A 23,638-nucleotide genomic window follows, 5' to 3' on the forward strand; every position below is an offset into this window, starting at 1 on the left:
CAGACAGACCAAGACGGAGAGGTTTTCCCGACATCGACCAGGGCGGCTCTGCTCCCAGCATCGCGAACGGTGGCACCTGCGTCTGGAAGAGAAGCTCTGCAGGCTGGGATTCGGGGAAGGGGGCGCTGGAGCTTCCTGGGAGAGGCGGGCAGGACTCCCCAACCTGGGAACAGTCAGAGGCAAGAGCTCAGCTCCAGGTCGGGCAGGCCGGCGCCTGGATTCCACACTCACAACCGTGCGGCTCAGGCCTCAGTTTACCCACCTGTAAAATGCAGATAACTGTCGTATTGACACGATCGCCTTGTGAGGGCAAATGAGGCAGTCCTGTGAAGATGGCGTGGACGCATCACGGCTGTCGATCATGAGTAATATTGATATAATACAACCACGTAGGGTTGGGTACTGTTGTTAATGCCACTGAGGATGTTTTTATTGATTATTTTGAAGCCCCGCTGTGAATCTACCCTTTTACCTGATCCTAAATCTCTCCTGCTGCTGCAAAGCTACCCTGAGACACACCCAGGAGGTGGGTTCTGGGTTCTGGAGCCCCGTCACCCGGCCAGGTCAAGGGACGGAGCTGAAGGTCAGGCACCCCTGCGTCCCCTCCCTACGCTCCCGCCCCTCAGCCCACGTCCCACAGTCCAGACCCCGCACCTCCCCCTCCCCTTTCCTTTTTCCTCCCATGAGACCCATCTCTCCTGCCCCTCCCTGGCCTCCACCCCATGCTCAGGGTTCAACACTGTCCTCCGATTCCCTCCACATTTCCCTCCTTCCTCCCTGGGCCCCCATCATCCACAGCAGACACCCCTCAGCCGCCGCCCCACCTCCTGCTCCTGGCTGCCCGCGTCCCGTGAGGACCCTGCTCCTGGACCCCAGCGATACATGTCCTCCCGCTTCTCTCCCTCTCATCGGCCCCTCCCAGGAGCCCCCTTCCCAGTGTTACCTCTTGGCTCCAGCTTCTTCCAACCAAACCCTGAACTCCATCCAGAGCGGAGCTGCTGCCCTGCTCCAGAGTCCATCTGGTCAACCCAAGTCAACCCCTGAGACCCACCCCTGCGGGGCAGCCACATCCCGAGTGCGGAGAGCACGGTTGGCTTATCTGGGACACACGCTTACTGGCTTGTTCTGTGTGATCGGGGATTGGGTCTAGGGGCCTGTGGGGATTTGGGTCCCAGGGTGGCTCTCATCTGACCTACCCCACATTCCAGCTGCCAGCCACATGGGCTGTGCAGAGGTGACTGCATGGTCCTCCCAGGCCACTCCATTGTCCTCAGTGAGGCTGTGCCTGGGAGGTGACAATGATCACAGACGGGGCACGTATGGCATTGTATCCCCACATGCGACGTGTGTCCTCTGTGCAGAGCTGGGACACTGGTACTATCGTGTCTCTACATGTGACCTCATGTCCTCTGTGCAGAGCCCGGGGTGTGGGTGCCATCATGTCCCCACATGTGACCCCATGTCCTCTGTGCAGAGCTCGGGACACTGGTGCCCTCGTGTCCCCACATGTGACCCCATGTCCTCTGTGCAGAGCTTGGGACACTGGTGCCCTCGTGTCTCCATGTGTGACCTCATATCATCTGTGCAGAGCTTGGGACACTGGTGCCATCGTGTCCCCACACGTGACCATATGTCCTCTGTAAAGAGCTGGGACACTGGTGCCATCATGTCCCCACGTGTGACCTCAGTCATCTGTGCAGAGCTCGGGACACTCTTGCCATCGTGTCCCCACATGTGACCTCATGTTCTCTGTGCAGAGCTGGGACACTGGTGCCATCGTGTCCCCACGTGTGACCTCAGTCATCTGTGCAGAGCTGGGACACTGGTGCCATCGTGTCCCCACATGTGACCGTATGTCCTCTGTACAGAGCTGGGACACTGGTGCCATCATGTCTCCACACGTGACTCCATGTCCTCTGTGCAGAGCTCAGGACACTGGTGCCATTGTGTCCCCACGTGTGACCTCATGTCCTCTGTACAGAGCTCGGGACACTGGTGCCATCGTGTCTCCACGTGTGACCTCATGTCTCTGTACAGAGCTGGGACACTGGTGCCATCGTGTCTCCATGTGTGACCTCATGTCATCTGTACAGAGCTCGGGGCTGTCTTCCTGTGGCTGCTCCTGGGTGGTCAGGCCCTGTGTTCGAGGCGGCTTTGACTGTGACTGTCCCGGGTGCAGCCATCACTAACCCAGCCTAAGAGCAATAAACCCATCTGCCCTGGCCTGGAGAATGTGTGGGTTGCTATGCACCTGTCGCCATGGCACCAGCACCTGTGACTTCAGGTCGGATGAGCGTCTGGAGAAGAGCAAGCAGCGTCAAATGGTCAGGGGCCCAGGGTGCCTGCGGAGGTCAGCCTCTGCCCAGTTCTCTGCAGGGAAACCTGTGGGGCCGTCCTGGGCCCCACGGAGCTCACAGTCGCCCTGGGGAGAGGGAGGAGGGGCCCAGGAGGTCTTCTCATCTGGGACAGTCCTGGAAGAGGCCCTTTAGGGACTCGCATGGTAAGTTTAGTCCAGAAATGGGGCACCCAGCAGCCAGGCTGAGCCAGGACCTGAGAAAAGAGACAGCTGTCCCCAGAAGTCCTGCCCTGCGGCTGCTCCATCCACCAGCCAAGTGGAGCATCCTGGACCCACTCACAAGGAGCTCTGCTCTTCATGACTTTAATGCAACCTGTCACCGTCATGGTGGGTGATCACTAATAGAGCATAGCAAGGCAGGGAGACTTCAGGGCAGGGAGTTTCTGCAGAAGACATTGGAACCAGGAATGTACACAGATACCGGGAATGTGAATTGTAGCTTCAAAGGGAAGGCACAGGCAGCCCAGCAACAGCAGCAGCCGATGGGAGCTCGCGGGGAGCCCACCTCTCCTCCAAGTGGTGAGAGACCCCAGAGGAGAGGCCTAGGGTCTCTGTCCCCCTGGAACAGAGAGAAAGATGCCTGCGTGGACGGGTCCCCAGAGGTGTGGACAGCAGGGTCCCCACGCTGACCACGGCAGGACAAGCTAGGGTTCAAGCTCCTCAAGGAAAGCTTTAAGCTCATCCTCAGGTTCTGAGCAGGTGCAAGCCAGTCCCAGGGACGCTTTGCTCCGTTCCCTGCTCTCCAGGGGAGGCGGGTGGGGAAGGGAGGAAGACAGAGGCCTCTCCCTCCTCCCTGCACAGCCTCAGACCTTCCTGCCAGAAGCAGCGCTGGACTGGCGTCCAATAACGGTGATGATAAAGCTAATAATTATTAGCATTATGAATTAATAGACAGGGAGGCAGTGAAGTGCAGGTGCTGGGGGGCTACAGCACAAAGTCCAGGAGAGTCCATCCCGGCCCCACCCCTGAGCCCGGGTGACCTTGGGCCAATCCCCCAAGGTCACCCCTTCTGTTGGCTTCCATCACCTCGAAATTGCACCTCCCAGGAGAGCACAAAATGAGAAAAAGCGCTTAAAACCCTGAGCACGGATGGCTCCTGCCTCAGGGCTGTGAGCTGCTGCCACCATTAGTCCTGAGAAAGCCAGTGGGGCAGGGGCTTCACCCAGCCTGGGATGCTTCATGTGGCCCATATGGTGTCCTGGGAAATTCTGAGTCTGTTGCCAATAGTTCAAAGTTGGGATGTTCCAGGTAAAACCTGGATTTCCACCTCATCCTGGAGAACCAGAAGTCCCGGCAGCCCTGGGCGCACCCGGCCACAGTTGGCTGCCAGAGTCAAGGCTGGGGGCTGCTCCCCAGTGACCCAGCTCCCACCAGCTGGACTGGCAGCCACATCCACCCAGCCCCATTGGTGCTGTGACCCTGATGTGACCTGGGCCTCTGCCGCCGAGGCCCTGAGCCCCCCTCCCCCAGCGAGAGGCCTACGGCCTCTGGAATAAGCTCAGTGGGGAGCGGCCTGCTGTGGGGACGCCTCTCACCACAGGTTCCCCCTGAGTTTTAAACAAAATGCACATGTGCACACACGCACACACTGAAACACACATCTGCACACACCTGCACACAGGTACACACCCACACGGATGTACACCACACACATGCCATGCACACACATAGACACACATGTGCACTCACACACATCCCACAGACATGTGTGCACACTTATGCACACATGCTTAAGTACACACCTGCACAGAACACATGTACACGCATATACATACTCATATCCACACACCCCATGTACCCGTGTGCACATGCATGCTCAAATACTCATAACACACATGTACACACATATGCACACATGCACACTCACATCCATACATCCCATATACCTCTGTGTACACACATTCTCAAATACACACTGGCACATGACACATGTACACACATATACACACAACCAAAAACACATCCATGCACACACATACACACATATGCACATGAAAACACGTCTGCACATTCATGCATACTAGATGCACACATCCACACACCCACGTGGATACACAGATACACGTGCACACTAACATCCACTCAGCTCCACACACCTGCACGTGCACACCTGCACACACACCTGCACACACACCTGCACACACACCTGCACACACACGCCCACATCACATCTATATGAACACCTGTACACACACATGCCGCATGCACACCTGCACACCCAGCCTGTCTCCCAGCCTTAGGACAATGACATTCTCCCTTCAGGGTTCCCAAATCCATGACTACACTCACTCAACCCCTCTGCAGGGCCGTGCAGACCCCGTATCTGCTGCCCGAAAGGGAGGCAGTGGGGGATGATGAGAAGCTCCCCTGACACCAGGGATCCAGTGTCTCTCAGGCCCAATTGATCTATGCTGTTGCTCAAGTCTTCTCTCACCCTGTTGTTCTTCTGTCTGGCTGATCTATCCATTATTGGAAATGGGGTATTGAAACCTCCTGCTGCATTTCTGTGCTTCTCCCTTCAGTTCTGTCAGTTTGTTTTACATATTAGTGTGCTTTGTTAATAGGTCCATATGTGTTTATAACTGCTATATCTTCCCAGTAAATTTACCTTTTCGTCATTGTGTAAAGTCCTTTTTGTCTCTTGTGACAGTTTTTGACTTGATGTCTATTTTGTCTGACATGAATGTGGCCATCTCTGCTCTGTTTTGTTTACCATTTGCATGGAGTATCTTTGTTCATTCTCTCATTTTGAACCTGTGTATGTCCTTATATCTAAAGTCATATGGAGGTAGAGAGTGGAAAGATGGATAACAGAGACTGGGAAGGGTGAGTGGGGATGGGGGAGGATGAAGAAAAGTTGGTGGAAGGGTACAAAAAACAGTAAGATAGAAAAATAAATTCAATGTTTGATAGCAGAATAGGGTGAACATAGTTAACAAAAGTATATTGTACTTGGGTGATGGACACCCTATACCCTGACTTGATCACTATGCATTATATATGTGTAACAACATTTCACATGTGCCCCATGAATTTGTACAAATAAAATAATATAAAGTGTCTTGTAGATAGCATATAGCTGCATCTTATTATGCATTCAGCCACTCTATGTCTTTTGACTGGGGAGTTTCACCCATTTATATTTAAATTAATGACTGATGGGGAGGGACTTACTATTGCTATTTTATTGTTTTCTCTTTGTCTTATAATTATTTGTTCCTCTTTTCCTCTCTTGCTGCCTTTCTTTGTGTTTCTTTGTTGTTGTTTTTTTGTACTGAGCTGCTTTGATTTCTTTCTCATTTTCTTTGGTGTATCTTCTATAGGTATTTTCTTTTGGAAGGGTCTGATCTTATTTGTTACTCAAAAAATCTTGTTTTTGTCTGGATGCAGACTTAGAAGTAGGAGCTCACCGCTGGAGAGTCTGCATTTCCTGGCAGTCTGTTCCTGATGTTTTTTTTTTTTTTTTGGCCTCTTTCATTCTCGTGGCCAGTGTGTAGCATATTCTGCAGCCTCTGCCTTATTTTTTGTAGTACACTGTTTTCTTCAGAGCAAGATGCCAGCATTTGTGCTGCAGGGCACATGGAGTAACAAGACACTGACCGGGCGTGGTGGCTCACGCCTGTAATGCCAGCACTTTGGGAGGCCAAGGCAGGGGGATCACAAGGTCAGGAGTTTGAGACCAGCCTGACCAACATGGTAAAACCCCATCTCTACTAAATATACAAAAATTAGCCAGGTGGTGGCGGGCGCCTATAGTCCCAGCTACTCAGGAGGCTGAGGCAGGAGAATCACTTGAACCCAGGAGGCAGAGGTTGCAGTGAGCCGAGATCGCACCACTGCACTCCAGCCTGGGCGACAGAGTGAGACTCTGTATAGAAAAAAAAAATGAAAACAAGACACTGAGTCGTAGGTGCTTTGGTCCTCGGTTTCTTACATTCTTCGTTTAAGGGTTTTCAACATTTAACATTTGAAACATTTCAACATTTCAACATTTAGACGTCTTCTTCTTCGTCTAAAGAAGACGTCGTCTTCTTTAGAGACATTGAAAAGTCTACGGATTCTGCTAGCTCTTCTGGGCCCCAGGCAGCGAGGCACCATAGTATCAGTCAGTCCAGGAATGTCCTTCTCTCCTATTTTTTTTTTTTAACAATAACCAAGTTGAGAATGCTGAGATTGGCATCCACAATGCAACGGCGAACAGGTTTTCACTGTCTTTCTCCAGTTCTCCTTGGTCTATGGCAGGAATGCCGCTTACTCGGTAGCAGGTGGACATGGCCGTGGGTCGGGTCACCCTGCTTCATGGGAAGGCTTGTTTGTCGTTCCCACCACTGATCCAGACCACAGAACCCTTCCATGCTTCACGAGAGCATCAGCAGCAACTTCTGTGGCCACAGGCATCTCATACAAACTACGAAGTTTGTGTTCATCGTCCACTGCAATGAGCTTCTGGCAGCCAGCGGCTGGGAAGATGTTCAGCTTCATCTTGAAGCGGCTCTTCTGTTGGTATTTTCTTTGTGGTTACTATGGGGACTGCATAAAACATCTCATAACAATCGACCTTAAGCTGATAACAACTCCAACTGCATGCAAAACCTCTATCCTTTCTACAACCCCCTGCTTTATGTCCTCAGTGTCACAGATTACACCTTCTTACACTTGGTATCAATTCGCAGAGCTTTGTAGCTGCCTCAGAAAGGCTTCTGGGCCTTGCTGTTGTGAGTTGGTGTTTCTGTCGGGAGGCAGTTCTGGGCTTCCTGTTCCGCCTTTGTGCTCTCCTCTCTGGAGGTCTAAACACTCAGCCAGGATCATGTGACAACCCCGGACTCTCTGTGCTTCCATCCTGCACTGGAGCAACCTCCTGAGAAAGTGCCCAGAAAGAGTGACCTGGCGGGTCTGAGACGATGGCCCTGGGAAAGGCCTGCTGGTGAGGGTGCCCTTGGCTGGTGTCTTGGAATCTGGCTGCAGCAGTTCCCTGCGCAGACACACAACCTCCCTCAATAGCGAGGAGCTCCTGTGTCTAAACTCCTGTGGAAACCACGTGGTATCCTGAGCCCGTTTCCTTCTGGGGGCCTGGAATGTCTGTGCGCGCCAAGCAGAGGTGCCCCCGTGACCAGCCCCCTAGTCGCTGGGCGCTGAGTCTCTGTGGGCTTCCCTGGTGGGCGACGTCTCACTGTGCCGTCACGTCACGTTGCTGAAGGAACTAAGCACAGCCATTGTGGCTCCACAGGGAGAGGACAGGGATGCTTGTGCCTGGTGCCTTGGACTTGGCCGCCCAGCCCCTGGCTGTGCTCACCCCTCCCCAGCCCCTGCAGCCCTGGATGGCAGTGGCTTCCTGCTGATGCCTAACTCGGGGTCACTGCCCCACCATTTCTTCTGCAGCTCCTCCAGCCCCTCTGTGGCGAGTTCCATGATTAAGTGGCCCCCATGGCACTCCCTGGGTGGCTCTGGCTTCCTGGCTGCCCTGGCCCACTCATAGGACCCTTTTCTACCAAGCATGGCCTCCTGGGAGCCTCACACCCCAGGACACAGAAGGGACTGGGGCCCAGCAGGTGGGTTGCTGACCCCGGAGACAGAGTGTCCACTTTGCTCATGGCCAGAAGTCATTTCATTATCTCTAAGAAGCAGACAGTCTGCTCCTCCTGTGTCTATAATTTTATTTACCTTCACAGACACACAGAATGTCAATGTGACTTCCTACCTCCAACTCAGCAAGGAGGACACGGATGCTTAGATGGGAAACGGCTGCTGCAAACGCAGCCTGAGTGTGAGGTCAGGGGCTGTGCAGACAGACAGGCAGACAGACAGATGGAGAGATGGACAACAGATGGATAGATGGACAGGCAGACACACAGATGGATGGACGGACAGACACACAGACAGGCAGATAGGCGTACAGATGACAGACAGACACACATGGACAGGCAGACAGACAGACAGATAGATGGAGAGATGGACAACAGACGGATAGATGGACAGGCAGACACACAGATGGACGGACAGATACACAGACAGGCAGATAGGTGGACAGATGAGAGACAGACACACATGGACAGGCAGACAGACAGACAGATAGATGGAGAGACAGCAGAGACACACAAGCAGACACACAGTCAGGCAGACCTGGTTGGATTCCCGCCAGTCGCCCTAAGTAGTTCAGTTGACTGTTCAGAGCTTTTGTTGCTCACCTGCGAAGAGGGGCGGGGCTCCGTCTCCTGATCTTCGGACCACCCTCCATCCCCACCTACCCGTGGGGAAGCCCCCTCCCTACTCTCAGTGGACCTGGGGGTGCACACAGCACTGCTCCCTGATGCCAGGCTCTTAGGGCAGTCGCGTGGCCCAGGCCTGGGGAGTCCCTGGACTCCGTCTCCTGGTCACAGGGACGGGCCCAGGATCAGCGGGGTGTGTGGGGTGGGATTCTAGACCAGCGGGGATGTTCCAGGCTGGTGGGACCCTGTGGATGCAGATGCAGCTCCCCATTTCTTGCCTTCCAGGGTGTTGTGGTTCTGAAAGAGAAACCCCAGTGCAGTAGGTGAATGCGTCCCCAGAAATCCCCCTGGGGGTCCCCAGTCACAGTGGACAGTGAAGCCATGACTCAAGCAGGCCCCCCAACCCCGAGTCCCACTGTCCCCTAGTCAGAGCCCATGGGGACCCGGCCTGGGTCACTGCACAGGAAACGATGCTGGACTCACTGCGGAACCCACAGGCCCAGTGATCTGGTCTGACCCAGGAGGACTTGAGCGGCCCAGTCCCCAGGGGCTTCCTGTGTGACATCACAAGCAGACTGAGGCCCGTCAGAGCCGCCCCAGGCAGTTATGTGAGGTGCTCTCAACTTACAACCTTTAAAACAAGGAAGACCCACCCTGTTCCCAGGAGCTTTCCAGATCCACCAAGGGCAGGTGGGAAGAGACCTTGAAGTATCAGGGTTCGAGCCCCGAGAGGAGATCCAAGGGGACCCCCTCCTCCATCTGACTGAGGAACGGACTCCCCACTTCCACCAACCCAACTCGTCATGGCTGCTCGGAAATCTCATATTCAACTCAAAAAAGGAGGCGAAACTCCTCTCAACGCCTGCATTTTAAGCAGCGGCTCCTCGGCTCTTGTGCGCTGTTCAGGCGCTCGCAGATCGTCCCTGCTCTTCCCTCCACCCTGCAGTGAGCTCCTGGCAGCTGGGCCGGACGCAGCTTCCCATGAGCAGAGGATCGACCTGGGAGCCTGGTGGGTGATCTCCGCCCAGACCAAGCATGAGAACCCCAAGTCCAGTGGGACAGGCCACAGACCAGCGACTGCTGCCCATGCCTGTCCTGGGGACTCCAGACAGTGCCGAGGGAAAGGAGAAATCATTCATTCAGCCATTCATTCGTTGACCCAGGCAATTATTCATTCATTCATTCAACAGATATTGACTGAGTCCTCCCTTTGAGGCAGGCACTGTTTTATGCACTGAAATACAACTATTTATACAACAGACACTCTTCCCTCCCCCCATGGAGGTTCTGTTCAAGCGGGGAGACAGTCATTTGTTAAATGAAACATAAAATCTCAGTGACAATTAGAGCTCTGGGGGAGAATGAAGGAGCAGGAAGAGGCAGACGAGGAGGAGCCGGGGCTGCCAGGTGCAGTAGCCCAGGTTGCGCACTGCTCAACTTTGCTGTAGGATTCACATCACAGTCATCAGAGTCACACTGGGCAGTTTTCCAGTAGATGGCCGCACTGTGTCTCAGGAAGGGCCCATTGCCGCTTTGTCCAAGGCCATCTCATGGGCTCAAAGCCATGGGAGGGGAGGGGTCCTGCCAGGATGACACAGAGTCTGGGGCCCTCATTTTCCTCCCATCAGATGATGCCCAGCCTGGGAAGGCACTGAGACCGCAGCGGAGTGGGCCAGGGGGCAGTGAGAGGAGGGGACGTGGGTGGGGCAGGGCTGGGGCACTGGAGGAGCAGGTCAGGCAGGGCCCGTCAGCCCAGGGGCACCCCAGGACTCAAGCCCGCAGCCGACCCTGCTCTGCTAGGCCTCACTGCAGCTGTGGGAAGGGGAAGCATGGAGCCCTCCCTCAAGGTCAGTGCAGCGCCTGGCTTGAGCTCATGACGGTGACCGTCCCCTGCTGCCACCATTGTAGTCACTGCCCTGGTGGGCAGCCTGGACCCCAGCTCCACCGCGCATGGACTGTGTGGTCTTGGGCAGTGCCAAGCTCAGCCTCACGGGCCTGTGGGGACGGTCACAGGAGGTCCACGTGCCAGGCCCAGGGTTCATGCACAGGGTTACCACCACTGCGAGGTTGCCTGCCCCGTCTTGTACCCGGCCGTCCATGTCCTCACCTCAGGCAGCAGGACAAAGGCAAGTGGAACTGAGAGGGGAGAGAGAGGCCAGAGTCCCCTGCAGCCCTGTCCCCAGGACCAGTGCCAAGAGCAACCTCAGAGGAGGGACCTGGGAGTGGCTGGTTCCAGTCCCCACCCCCACTCCGATGGGAAAGTGACCCCGGGTGACCTGCCAAGGTCACAGGGCAGAGCTAGGGTGAGGTCTAAGCACCTCATGTCTGAGCAGAGGAACCCACTCAAGGCCCACCAGGACCCACACGGCCAGTGTTGTCATCACTGAGACATAGAGACGGGGGCCCCCGAGCCACACAGCTGGACAGTGAGAAAACCAGGCTCCCAGCAGTGAGCTGGCCGCATGCCCAGGGCCTTCCACAGCTCCACACAGCCCAGCCTCCAAACCAACTCAGGATGGGCCCAGGGCTCAAATGCCCCCAAGGCCCAGGCAGAACCGTGGGAGTGCAGGTGCCCAGGGGTGACGATAGGGAACGGTGGGGACTGCGGAGAACCGGAGAGGGCTTCCCTCCTAAGGGCAGTGAACCTCAAAGTTCCCTAAACCTACAGAGCCCACCAAGCTCACCTCTCCAGGGGGCTTCAGTCCAGTCTCAAGAGTGGCACCTGGTGAAGGGGGTTCTTGGGATGTGACAGTGACCTCCGAAGCCTGGACATTTGCTCTGTAAGGAGGGGGTCTGGGCTTTTAAAATGTCCTGCTGAGAAAAGAGAAGACACAGGGTGGATTCGGGCACAAGGGATGTGACAGAAGGAACAGCCCCTCTGCAGCGGTGGCGGTTCAGAGGGCCCAATCAGCACACGACCCCCACCCTGGCCCCTGCAGAAAGGCAGGCCTGGTGCGGAAGCTGAAACTCGAAGCCTAGCGCGAAGGCCCCGCAGATGTCAGTCGTGGGGTGCGCCAGAGGCAATGGGGGCCCCGTGATGAGTGCGACCCTAACTGGGTTATGTTGATGAACGCAGGGATTTTCACATCAGAGTTAGGAATGGCGGTGACAATAAACTAAGGAATGGTTTCCGTGGATACAGTTGACACGCGGAATCTTGTGTCTTAGAAAGTCTGTCTTGAGGCTGGTTACAGTGGTTCACGCCTATAATCCCAACATTTTGAGAGGCCAAGGAGGGAGGATCGCTTGAGGCTAGCAGTTCAAGACCAGCCTGGCCAGCATAGCAAGATTCCATGTTTATTAAAAATTTCGAAAGGCACGTTGCTTTGTGTCTCAGGATTGCTCTGTGCTGTGTTCAGACAACAGGAGGATGAAAACAAACTCTCCAATCTCGGGGCTGGGAGGAAACAGGGTGCCTATTACTGTGAGGTGGGATGAATTGATCTTTCATGGAATCCTCCTGCAATGCTCGTGGGTTCGTTCCTTCCTTCCTTCAACAAGCGTTTCTTGCGGCATCTACTACGGGCCAGGTGCTGTCCTGGGCTCTGCAGATCCAAAAGTGAAAGAAACGGACAAAATCCCTGCCCTCCTGGAGCTCCCCTGAAATAAGCGGATCCGTGAAATGAAGGGAAGAGGTGAAGCCAGAGGCGTCGGGGCTGGGAAGGGAAGAACCGGGCAGGGCCCCGGGGGCATCTGGGGGGCGGCGGGGCCTCTCCAGCCGCGGGGGCCTCTCCAGCTCTGGGGCTCCTCTGAGCGGGGCCTGCGCGGTGAGGAGCGGCCCCTACTGCGGGCAGGAAGCAGCGCGGGAGGGGGAACCGCAGGGCAGACCCGGGCCGGCATCGCCTCCGGGGACGGGCCCGCTGTGCCCGGGAGGGGTCAGGGCCCTAGAGGCGGCGGCAGCGCGTGGACCAGGCCCCGACTCAGGGTCCCGGGCAGGAGCGTGGACTTCGTGCATTCGGAAGCCGCCGGTCGAGGCTCGGTGGCTGCTGCGGGGGCAGCGGGTGGGGAGGGCAGGACGCACCTCTGTCTACACCCGCTTCACCCGCTTAACGACACGAATCAGCGTCCTCCGCGCAGGGACCCGGAGCTGGCTGGAGGCGTCCGCAGAAGACCCGCGCCGGGGCCGAGGGCCGCGTGGGGGCCGCAGACTTGCAGGGAGCGCAGCCCCAGGTGGGCAGGGCCGAGGCGGGGACCTGAAGCCGGGGAGGGAGGCCCAGGGCGGGCTCCGCGCGTCCAGCCGCGGGTGGGTGTCTGCGCCGCTGGGGGTTCCAGAGAATTCTCAACCGTCCCCCTCTCTCCCCCCGGGACAGCGTCTCCATTCCAACCTGGCACGGACGCCAGGAGCTCGCGCTACGAGTCATTTTAAAAAGAAAACACAATTTACGTGTGAAAGTCGAGACGAGAAAGCTCGCGGGTGCCCGTTAGGATTTGTGGGGTGAGACGGGAGAATTCACACCAGTCCCAGCTGCCCTCCAGGGAAATAGAACCCACGAACGTGTCACGTCTGCGTTTATCGATAACCGCGTGTGCGCGGAGGGGCTGTGCTCAGTGTCCCGCGTGAGGCTCCCGGGAGAGCTCCCTCCCCTTCCGCGTCTGGCTCTGGGAGGGCCCTGGGCGGCCAATCAGGATCCCCATTGCCTTCGCCGAAGTGCTGTGTCCGGTGCAGGCCTGTGACCCACGTGGCCTCCAACAGGGTCCCTGTTTATCGCGCTGTCGTGGTCGTGGGGTTTGAGGAAGAAAGCCCAGCGCTGGCGCCATTTGGTCTCCCATCCAAGTTCTAACCGGGTCCGACCCTGCTTAGCTTCCGAGATCAGATGAGCTCGTAGGCGTTCGGGGGGCATGGCCGTAGACTTTGGCCACTTGGTACCACGGTGGGCTGAGGGGCTGCGGGTGGGAAGGCGATTTGAGGAGCACATTTGCAGGCAGCAGACTGTGGCTTCCAGAACCGACTGTGCCCGAGGATAAGGCCTGAACTTCAACAACCTGCAAGTGGGTTGAGCAACCCGTTTCACCGTTGAGGAGACAGAGCGCTGGCCCAGCCTGGACCCGGAGCTGAGGTGGGTCCTGCAGAAGCCGTGGGGGGCCCGGACTGTGCATGGGAAAAGGGCCACACCAGGGGCTGCAGGACCCCTTCCTGATTCCCCCAGGACGGGGCGCCTGTCATTTGTCTACAACCCATTTTCCCTGGGCCTTCTCCTCCGGCTTCCCCCGCATGAAGGAGTTTGCTGCGAAGCACGGAATTCCAGCAACGCTGGGAAATCCACGCAGGCCCAGTGCCCAGTGCCCCAGGGCCCCAGTGCTATGGGTCCCACAGGATCCGCTATTTGGGGTGAAGGCCCTGGGTGTCCCCGGGGAGCAGAGCTGGGCTCTCTCCTGCTTGGAGAAGGGTGTGCTTTTGTTTCAGAGCCGTGGGAGCAGACAACATTTCTGAAGGTTGCAATTTTTGTTTTTTAGCAAAAATTCCTTTCTAAAATGTATGAGCCCGAGTAACACATTCATTTTTGTGATACGGAGTGAAATCAGGCATGAATTTTTCACGTTTCTTTGCTCATTCATTGGGCGTTAGGTGTATCACTCCTCGGCTTGTCAAAATGTTTTAATTTGTGGATTTGTTTTTAAAAAGTGTATGATTGGCAGGGAAGTGGAGGAGGGTTTCCCTCCTGAGAACACCCACCACATAGACAGGAGGCCCCAGTGCCAGCTCGGGACTTGGGGGTGGGAAGTATTTAACTGGGATGGGGAATCCCCTGCATGACAGGTTCCTGTTTCCTGGCTCACCTGGAGGCTCCTGGAGCCTGAGACCCTGACGTGGAAACAAGTCTCTCGGGCACAGGCACACTTCAGGGTGAGTGCAGCCTTCACAGGGGATGGGGCCTCACTGGGCTCTGAAGGCCAGGGCCACCTCCTCCTCCTCCTCCTTCCCAGGGACTCCAGGAGTCCCCTCCCCATTCCCATCCCCTAGCCTCTATCCTCCATCCCAGGCTTTAAAGAGATGCATTCACCTGTTGAAGATGGTGGCCCAGGCAGGAAAAGAGCAGGGGCTGCTGCTGACTTGTTCCCCAGGAGCACAGGAGAGGAGGCTTCGAGACCCACATGTGTCCTGTGGCTGCTCCACCCACACCGGGGTCTGACCCCAGCGGATCAGCAGAGAGGACGGCCCAGAGCAGGAGGCCCAGCCCAGGGCAGCTGGGATCTGCAGGGCTCCCCTCCAGAGGCCGCACCTCAGACCTTGGCAGCAGCCCCCGGCTCTGTGGATCCTCCAGGAGATTTTCCCAAGCTCCAGCCCCAACCCTTTAATTCACACTGGGAAGAGCCTCAAAGAACCCGGCAGGGACGGAGCTCCCCCCACCCTCTGGGCAAAGATCAACTTGGTTAAAAGGGCCTCCAGCTGAAACCCATCTCCTGGGGAAATGTATTAAAACAGAAACTCTGCTAGGAAGATTGTTTTGCTCAGACGTTCTTCTCCTCCTGGGTTTCTGCTTTTACAATCTTGACCTGAACTAAATTTAATGCAGAAACCTTCCCTGGTTGCTGGGAGAGCAGAGTGGAGGTTTAAGTGAGAAAACTAATTTCAAAGAACTGTAGGGGAAGGAAAACTTTTCCTCTACTCTCTCACCTTCAGTGGCTGGGGGCCTGTGAGTTAAACAGATGAAAGTTATTAACAGGAAGAAATTGGCTGGGTACCGTAGCTCATGCCTATAATCCCAGCAATTTGGGAGGCCAAGGCGGGTGGATCACCTGAGGTCGGGAGTTCGAGACCAGCCTGACCAACATGGAGAAACCCTGTCTCTACTAAAAAATACAAAATTAGCCAGGCATGGTGACACATGCCTGTAATCCCAGCTACTTGGGAGGCTGAGGCAGGAGAATCACTTGAATCTGGGAGGTGGAGGTTGCGGTGAGCTGAGATGCGCCACTGCCCTCCAGCCTGGGGAACAAGAGTGAAACTGTCTCAAAAAAAGACAAAAAATCAACAGGAAAAAAGCATGCATTTGGAATTTTAAACTTAACGTGCATGAGGGTGTCCCAGAAATAAGCAAATACCAGAGGAGCAGTGAGATTCTGGAGCTCACATCTCGTCCTAACGTGGGTAGGGAGGGCAGAGGCGCACTTACGGAAACGCAAAGGACTTTATTGAGAGATAAATGGGCCCTCAGGAGGGCAGATGGGAGACATGGTCCTTTGTGACAATGTCTGCCGGGATGTGGGGGGGCTTCTCCCCTCCAAGAAGAGAAGATTACAGTTGTTCCTGGGGAGACACTTAGGACAATGGAGTTGTTTGGGGGAGGCTCTGGTTTTAGGCAGGTAAAGAATTTTAGGAACTCCAATGCTTTCTGCTCAAAAGAATTCTGCTGCCAAAATGGCATACCTCAGGTTGGCACTTCCTGATTCCCTCTAGAGCCTTGCGATGAACTGTAGACCTCTTCCTGTAAACACCACCACCACACACAAGTGAAAAGGCAAGGTCAGATTGAGGAGCGACGTTTGCCTCATGCTTAATAGTCAACAGTTTGGTACATGCAACCTCTAAGTGGCTTCCATAAATGAATAACAAACAGAAAGAAAGAGCGATAGAAAAATGAGCAGATATTATGAGCAGGTAATTCACAGAAAAGGAATATCAAAAAACAGTTAAGCAAAAGAAAAGATGTCCCCCCTCACTAATAATCAGCCAGACAGTGAATTCAGCAGGTGTGTGACATTTTTGCCTGCCAGCTCCACGCTAATGTACTAAGATGTGCAGACAGCAGCCTGGGGAGACCAGCTGCACCTCCCTTAATGCAGTAGCTCTGGGCCAGGCATGATGGCTCCTACCTGTAATCTAAGCACTTTAAGAGGCCAAGGCAGGAGGATCATTTGAGGCCAGGAGTTCAAGATCAGCTGGGCAGCATAGTGACCCCCATCTCTATAAAAAAGAAAAAAGAAAAAAAAGCAGTGGCTCCAAAGCCTCCCATGGAAAACTTCTCATCATGTGGGCAAGGCAGAGGCTTCATTAGTAAAATGATTCAGCACCTGCCATCTGATGTCCATTCTCCAATCCCTTAGCCAAGTGCAACTCAAATGCCATTGATCATGGCCTATTTCAGGGACACAAGTTTCCTTGCATTAATCACTCTTTCCAGGATGCCAGGCACACTGACCCCCTTGGTACAGGGTCAGGGGACCCACCTGTGTCTCCTCCTTGTCTGGGGGAAGTTTACATGCTCTATGGAGGGCGTGCTGCTGAGGGCAATACCAGAAGGGAAGTTTTCTATAGGGGACCTCAGCTCCTGTTTATAAAGAGGGAGTCCAGGATAGGGGAGATGGCCCCTGGGAGGGGAATGTCTCCACATACCTAATAATTTGAGATGATTATAACAATAATAAGTATATTTCATCCAGCGTTTGTGGTGGGATTGTCTGTGCTCTGAGACGTGTCATGATCTCACCACATTCTCTTCTCTCTCTGGGATACCAACATCACCATCATCACCATTACCATCATCATCATCATCACCATCACCATCATCACCATCATAATCATCATTATAACCACCACCATCATCACCATCATCACCACCACCATCACCATTATCATCATAATCATAACGATCATCACCATCATCAACATCATTATCACCATAACCATTGCCATCACCATCATAATCATTATAACCACCACCATCATCCCATCGTCATCACCACCACCATCATCACCATCACCATCACCACCACCATCGTTACTATCATAATCATAATAATCATCACCATCATCATTAGCGTCATCACCATCATCACCATCATAATCATTATAATCATCATCACCACCACCATCATTATCATCATAATCACAATAATCATCACCATCATCATTATCATCATCACCACCATCACCATCATCATCATCACCACCATCACCATCATCATTATCATCATCACCACCATCACCATCATCATCATCATCACCATCATCATCATCATGATGACAATCATGACCGTCGTAGTCATCATTATCACCACCATGATCATCACCATCATCGTTATCACCATCATCACCACCACCATCATCATCATCATAATCATAAAATCATCACCATCAACATCATTATCACCATCATCATCACCATCACCATCATCATCACTATCATCATCACCATCATCACCACTACCACCATCATCATCATTGTAACAATCATCATCATCGTCAATATCATTATTACCATCATCATCACCATCATCACATCACCATCATTACCATCATCATCACCATCACCATTATCATCACCATCATCACCATCATCCTCATCACCATCATCACTATCATCATCACCATTATCAACATCATCATCATTCCTATTTCACAGCTGAGGAAGTGGAGGAGAGGAGGAGGAGAGGGCTCACCTCTGTCAGGAAATGACCAGGAAGTGGCTCCCATGGCCCTCTTATCTTAGTGCATTGGTCAGAAATGGGTCACTTGGTCACATGAGGCCACAAGGAGGGCTGGGGAAGGTTGTCCTCACTCTGGGTAGCCATGGGTCCAGTTCCCACTCAGGGCTCTAATCCACAGGTGAGGCAGATGTGGAGGGAGGGATTGAGAGTCTTCAGTTCTGAGAAGCTCCTGGTGATGCTCATGCTGCTGGTCCCAGAGTAGCAGAGCTTTAGGGGCTCAAATTCCCCATTTTCCTTCACTGTGAGAGGTACCTGCTTAGGGGCCATGGGAGAGTCCCTTTTATCCCATAACTGATTGTTGCTCAGGGTCCTCTCTGCAGAGCCCCCGGTCGACTCCCAGGGACAGACCTGTAAGGTTTCTCAGCTAATTGTGGCAGCATTTCCTGCAGTGGATTCACCCCCAGAATGTGGCACTGGGCTGCCTGTGCCTCTCTTTGTTTTCCTGTTGCTGATGCGGTGCCTGGGATAAGAGTGCAGAGCTGGCTTGGAAGACGGGAATTTCTCCTGTCGATATCAATCACGTCTAGTGTATTGCTGAACCTGCCTCATTACAATGTCAAATGTGTTCAGAGATGGGAGCTTAAACTGCCATTATCCTTACCCATATCTCTCTCTGCCTTGAACTTCTGTAAGCAATGAATTTGAATCCCAGGACAGGGATGAGAAGGTGCTGAGTTCCAAAATGAGGGGATAGGCTTTGTGGCATCCTGGGCAGAGGAGTTTATGTGTTTAGTGTGCAGGCACCATGGCGGGGGATCACCCCACAATGAACCCGGCCACAGGGCCATGGATGGGACACATCTCTCAGCGGGGACCCAGGGACAGTGTCTCCATCACCTCCATCCCAGCGACCCTCTACTCACACCTTCAGTCAAATGTCTGCTCCTCCCTGTGAAGGGCGAGGGGGCCATGGAATCCCTGACTGCACAAAAGGCTGAGCACTGCACACACCCGGAGATCTCAGGCCCCTGCCCTCTGGCTGAGCCAGGGGGAAAGGGGATTTTTCCTGGAATTCAACTCTCTGCACCGTGGCCACCCCTTGAAGGACTCACAGACTCCCCTGATTCAGCCTCATGGCATCTCAGGGAGGTTGGGCAGCTTCCCTCTGCAGCTGGAGGCCGAGTGCCTCTCCCACCTCCAATCCTGCCCTTCAGCAAACTGACTGACAGGCAAAGGAATCAACCCAGAGCCTCCAGAAGCTTCCAAGTCCCAGCCAGGGGAGCCACACCTGCCCAGATGCTGCAGAAGAGCAGCACTCAGTCATGGCCTGCGCTATTTCACACAAGAGGAAACTGGGTTTGGGAGAAGGAAGGGGCTACGCAGACTTAAATAGACACGGCTTTAAGCAAAGATAAACTCACAGAGCAGAGAAGGTGTTCTCTACGCTCTGCTTTGTCCAGATTTTAGAATCATGAATGTGTGACCTGAGACCCTATTAATTAGACGCTTTAATGTGATGACTAAAATTGGTCAAAAATTTAGATTAGCCAATTCACAAAAGAGGATTCTCACACGTCCCATAAGCACAGGGACAGTTGTGCAGCATCGCCAGACATCAGGGAAGTAAAAATTAAACCATAGTGAGACTCCAGTCCATGCCCACAAGAATGGCTGGAATTGGAACAGCTGACCTCCTGCTGAAGACCAAGTGGGGCCCTTGCAACTCCTGTGTGTAGCTGGGAGGAGTGTGCAATGGTGCACCCCCCTAGGACACCCTTTTGGATGGCTTCTGGGGAGGAGTGTGCAATGGTGCACCCCCTAGGACACCCTTTTGGATGGCTTCTGGGGAGGAGTGTGCAATGGTGCACCCCCTAGGACACCCTTTTGGATGGCTTCTGGGGAGGAGTGTGCAATGGTGCACCCCCTAGGACACCCTTTTGGATGGCTTCTGGGGAGGAGTGTGCAATGGTGCACCCCCTAGGACACCCTTTTGGATGGCTTCTGGGGAGGAGTGTGCAATGGTGCACCCCCTAGGACACCCTTTTGGATGGCTTCTGGGGAGGAGTGTGCAATGGTGCACCCCCTAGGACACCCTTTTGGATGGCTTCTGGGGAGGAGTGTGCAATGGTGCACCCCCTAGGACACCCTTTTGGATGGCTTCTGGGGAGGAGTGTGCAATGGTGCACCCCCCTAGGACACCCTTTTGGATGGCTTCTGGGGAGGAGTGTGCAATGGTGCACCCCCTAGGACACCCTTTTGGATGGCTTCTGGGGAGGAGTGTGCAATGGTGCACCCCCTAGGACACCCTTTTGGATGGCTTCTGGGGAGGAGTGTGCAATGGTGCACCCCCCTAGGACACCCTTTTGGATGGCTTCTGGGGAGGAGTGTGCAATGGTGCACCCCCTAGGACACCCTTTTGGATGGCTTCTGGGGAGGAGTGTGCAATGGTGCACCCCCCTAGGACACCCTTTTGGATGGCTTCTGGGGAGGAGTGTGCAATGGTGCATCTCTAAGACACTCTCTTGGATGGGTTTTGTGGAGGAGGGTGCAACGGTGCACCCCCCTAGGACACCCTTTTGGATGGCTTCTGGGGAGGAGTGTGCAATGGTGCATCTCTAAGACACTCTCTTGGATGGGTTTTGTGGAGGAGGGTGCAACGGTGCACCCCTAAGAAACCCTCTTTGGTGGGTTTTGTGGAGGAGTGTGCAATAGTGCACCCCCAAACACCCTCTTGGATGGGTTTTGTGGAGGAGTGTGCAATGGTTCACCCCTAGACACCCTCTTGGATGGGTTTTGTGGAGGAGGGTGCAATGTCGGACCCCTAAGACACCCTCTTGGATGGGTTTTGTGGAGGAGGGTGTAATGGTGCACCCCTAAGGCACCCTCTTTGATGGCTTCTAAGAAGGTTACACATAGAACAATCCCATGACCCAGAAAATCCATTCCTGGGAACGTAAGAAAAATCCATAAATATGTCCACAACAAACAACTGCACGAGAATGACACAATAGCTTTGTTCAAAATAGTGAAACCCAGAAACAATCCAGGCAAATGCAGAAACAAATAGCAGAATCTTCATACAATGCAACGTTACTCTACGATCACTCCTGAGAAAGACAGTTTTAGGGAGAAATCTCAAGAAATTATGTTGAGAAAAAAATGGGAGTCATGAAATACTACACGTCACAGAATTCCATTTATATCCAGTTCCTGTCACTTAGGTTTCCAAACAGGCAAGACTGTGTGGAAACAGAGCACAGGAAAAGTGACCTCTGAGTGTGGACTGGAAAGGGCATGAGGGGCTTCCTGGGGGTGGTGTCTGTGCCTCAACTTGGGGGCGGTCACAAGGCCTGTACATATGTGAAGTCCCGTCCATCTGTACTCATAAGATTTGTTATTTTACTGAGTGTAAGTGATGCCTCAAATAACTACTAAAAAGGGATGATGGTAAATCCTGCCTGATCCTTCAAACCCCATCTCCTCCTGCCCCGCCCTCAACCCTTTCCTTAATCTCCCAGCCACACACCATCCCCTAGAGCAAATATGTTGTTTTTGCTGTTTTTTCCCCATACGTGGATTCAAGATCAATGCAAATATCAACTGTACATTTGAAGATTAAAGTGAAAGTCATTCTTGACTCCACCCCATCCTTTCCCTCCTGCTCACCACATTCCTATTCATTTCCAGAAAAACACTGTGGCCTGGTGGGAGTGGGGGTGTCTCTTCTTCCAGAGGGTCTCTAAGCTTTTACATCCATACATCCATATGGATGGAAATAAGTGCCCCTTTCACCATGGCTTTTATACACACACACACACACACACACACATCACACTGGGGCCATGTCTTCTTCCTTGCTTGTTTTGTAGAATAGCAAGCCTTAGAAATCTTTCCATATGCATATATATAGTGCTACCATTTTGCATCAGCTGCTACACAATATTCCATAACATGGACATACCATAGGCTGTATTTAACCAAATCACCCTCGGAAGAGACTAAAGTTTTATTTTTCCCCATGTCTCCAGGATGACTGTCGACGTGGCAGCACACATTCTAGCACCCGCCTCCTTTGCCCATGCTCAGGTAGAGGCTGAGAAGTGAAATTGGGAGCCATGGCATGTGTGCACTTTTTGTGCCAATAGATACATCCAGATAGTTCTCTAGAAAAGACCATTCGAACTTACATTCACACAAACAGCATACACGAATCCTCTTTCCGCATATCTTGGCTAATACTTTTTTCTTTCTTTCTTTTTTTTTTTTTTTTGAGACAGAGCCTCGCTCTGCTGCCCAGGCTTGAGTGCAGTGGTGCAATCTCAGCTCACTGCAACCTCCACCTCCTGGGTTCAAGCAATTCTCCTGCTTCAGCCTCCCAAGTAGCTGGGACTACGGGCCTGCGCCACCTCACCCGGCTAACTTTTTATATTTTTAGTACAGACAGGGTTTCACCATTTTGGCCAGGCTGGCCTCGAACTCCTGACCTCGTGATCCACCCGCCTTGGCCTCCCAAAGTTCTGGGATTACAGGTGTGAGCCACTGTGTCCGGCCACTTGGCTAATACTTGACGTGATCATTTCCTCACTTCTGCCCATCAGATAGGTGAAACGTTGTATCTTGTTTTAACTTGTTTGCCCTCATTCCTACTGAGTTGAGTATTTTTCTATGTTGCCCTTTGACATTTCTCTCCCATAAATTGTTTGTTTATATCCTTTGCCTGAATTTTTGCTGGGTTGTTTATCTTTTCCACATTACTCTAGGAAGGCGTTTACAGATTCTGTGTGTGAATCTTTTGTTTTATGTCGTGTAATGTTTTCTCCGAGTCTGTGGCTAATCTTTTCACTGTATCTTTACTGATATGGAAATTTTAAATGTCGATGTAGACAAAATTATATATTTTTCACCTTAGCCCTGTGTGGTTTTGTCTTGTTTAGGGTCTTTTGACACCCAGGTTACATTTTCCTGCTTTTTTTAAATTTTGAGACAGAGTTTCACTCTTGTTGCCCAGGCTGGAGTGCAGTGGTGTGATCTCGGCTCACTGCAACCTCTGCCTCCTGGGTTCCAGCAATTCTCCTGTCTCAGCCTACCAAGTAGCTTGGATTACAGGCGTGTGCCACTACACTCAGCTAATTTTTGTATTTTTAGTAGAGACGAGGTTTCATCATGTTGGCCAGGCTGGTCTTGAACTCCTGACCTCAAGCGATCCACCTGCCTTGGCCTCCCAAAGTGCTGGGATTACAGGCATGAGCCACCATGCCTGAGTCACCATGCCTGGCCCAGCATCTGATATTTCTAAACGACACATGACAATGACCAGTTTCTCCCAGTTTTCTGAATGTTGCATGTTCATAATATCCTGGATTGTATCAGTTTAGTGCCAAAAAATGGTTTCAAAATTATAATCCAGTTCCTTGCAGACAAAAAGGATTCTGGAATAAAACAAATCAGAGCTGCTTCCACAAACCCCAATGAGGTTCCTGACTCTGGGCAGGCAGGAGTGGCCTTTGCTCCCCAGAAAAGGAACTAAAGAGAGTCGTGGAGGACTTGGAGCTCTTGCAGCCTCTGAGACTCTCAGGCCTCCCCTGGGGGGAAAACATGTCCAGAACCTGAAAAAGACAAATGAAAATCCACTCACACTGACCGGCTGCTGCCCCTCACCCCACAGCCTGGGAGCTTCTCAGACGGCTGCCTTTCTGCCCATAGCGAC

At 53.2% G+C, this 23,638-nt stretch overlaps 2 long non-coding RNA genes and 2 pseudogenes across 2 annotated transcripts, besides 1 other annotated feature; 1 reads left to right on the top strand and 3 right to left on the bottom strand.

Annotated features, from left to right (window-relative positions):
* Positions 6,247 to 6,838, bottom strand: RPS6P20 (ribosomal protein S6 pseudogene 20; annotated as a pseudogene).
* On the top strand, positions 9,053 to 10,757 carry LOC100128002 (uncharacterized). The gene has a single exon (XR_158870.6). It is a non-coding gene; the product is annotated as an uncharacterized LOC100128002 (long non-coding RNA).
* LINC02415 (long intergenic non-protein coding RNA 2415) lies at positions 9,775 to 11,634 on the bottom strand. Its single transcript, NR_135045.1, has 2 exons — positions 11,247 to 11,634; positions 9,775 to 10,698 (listed from the first exon to the last, which is right to left on the bottom strand). It is a non-coding gene; the product is annotated as a long intergenic non-protein coding RNA 2415 (long non-coding RNA).
* Positions 10,747 to 11,447: an enhancer, noted in NCBI's record as "H3K4me1 hESC enhancer chr12:131781630-131782330 (GRCh37/hg19 assembly coordinates)". NCBI's record gives its function as "activates a minimal SCP1, AML or CMV promoter by ChIP-STARR-seq in primed H9 embryonic stem cells {active_cell/tissue: H9 hESC(primed)}" and the evidence as "EXISTENCE:reporter gene assay evidence [ECO:0000049][PMID:30033119]".
* On the bottom strand, positions 13,317 to 13,413 carry RNA5SP376 (RNA, 5S ribosomal pseudogene 376; annotated as a pseudogene).

Source organism: Homo sapiens, chromosome 12 (genome assembly GCF_000001405.40).
Source record: "Homo sapiens chromosome 12, GRCh38.p14 Primary Assembly".
Taxonomy (NCBI): Eukaryota; Metazoa; Chordata; class Mammalia; order Primates; family Hominidae; genus Homo; species Homo sapiens.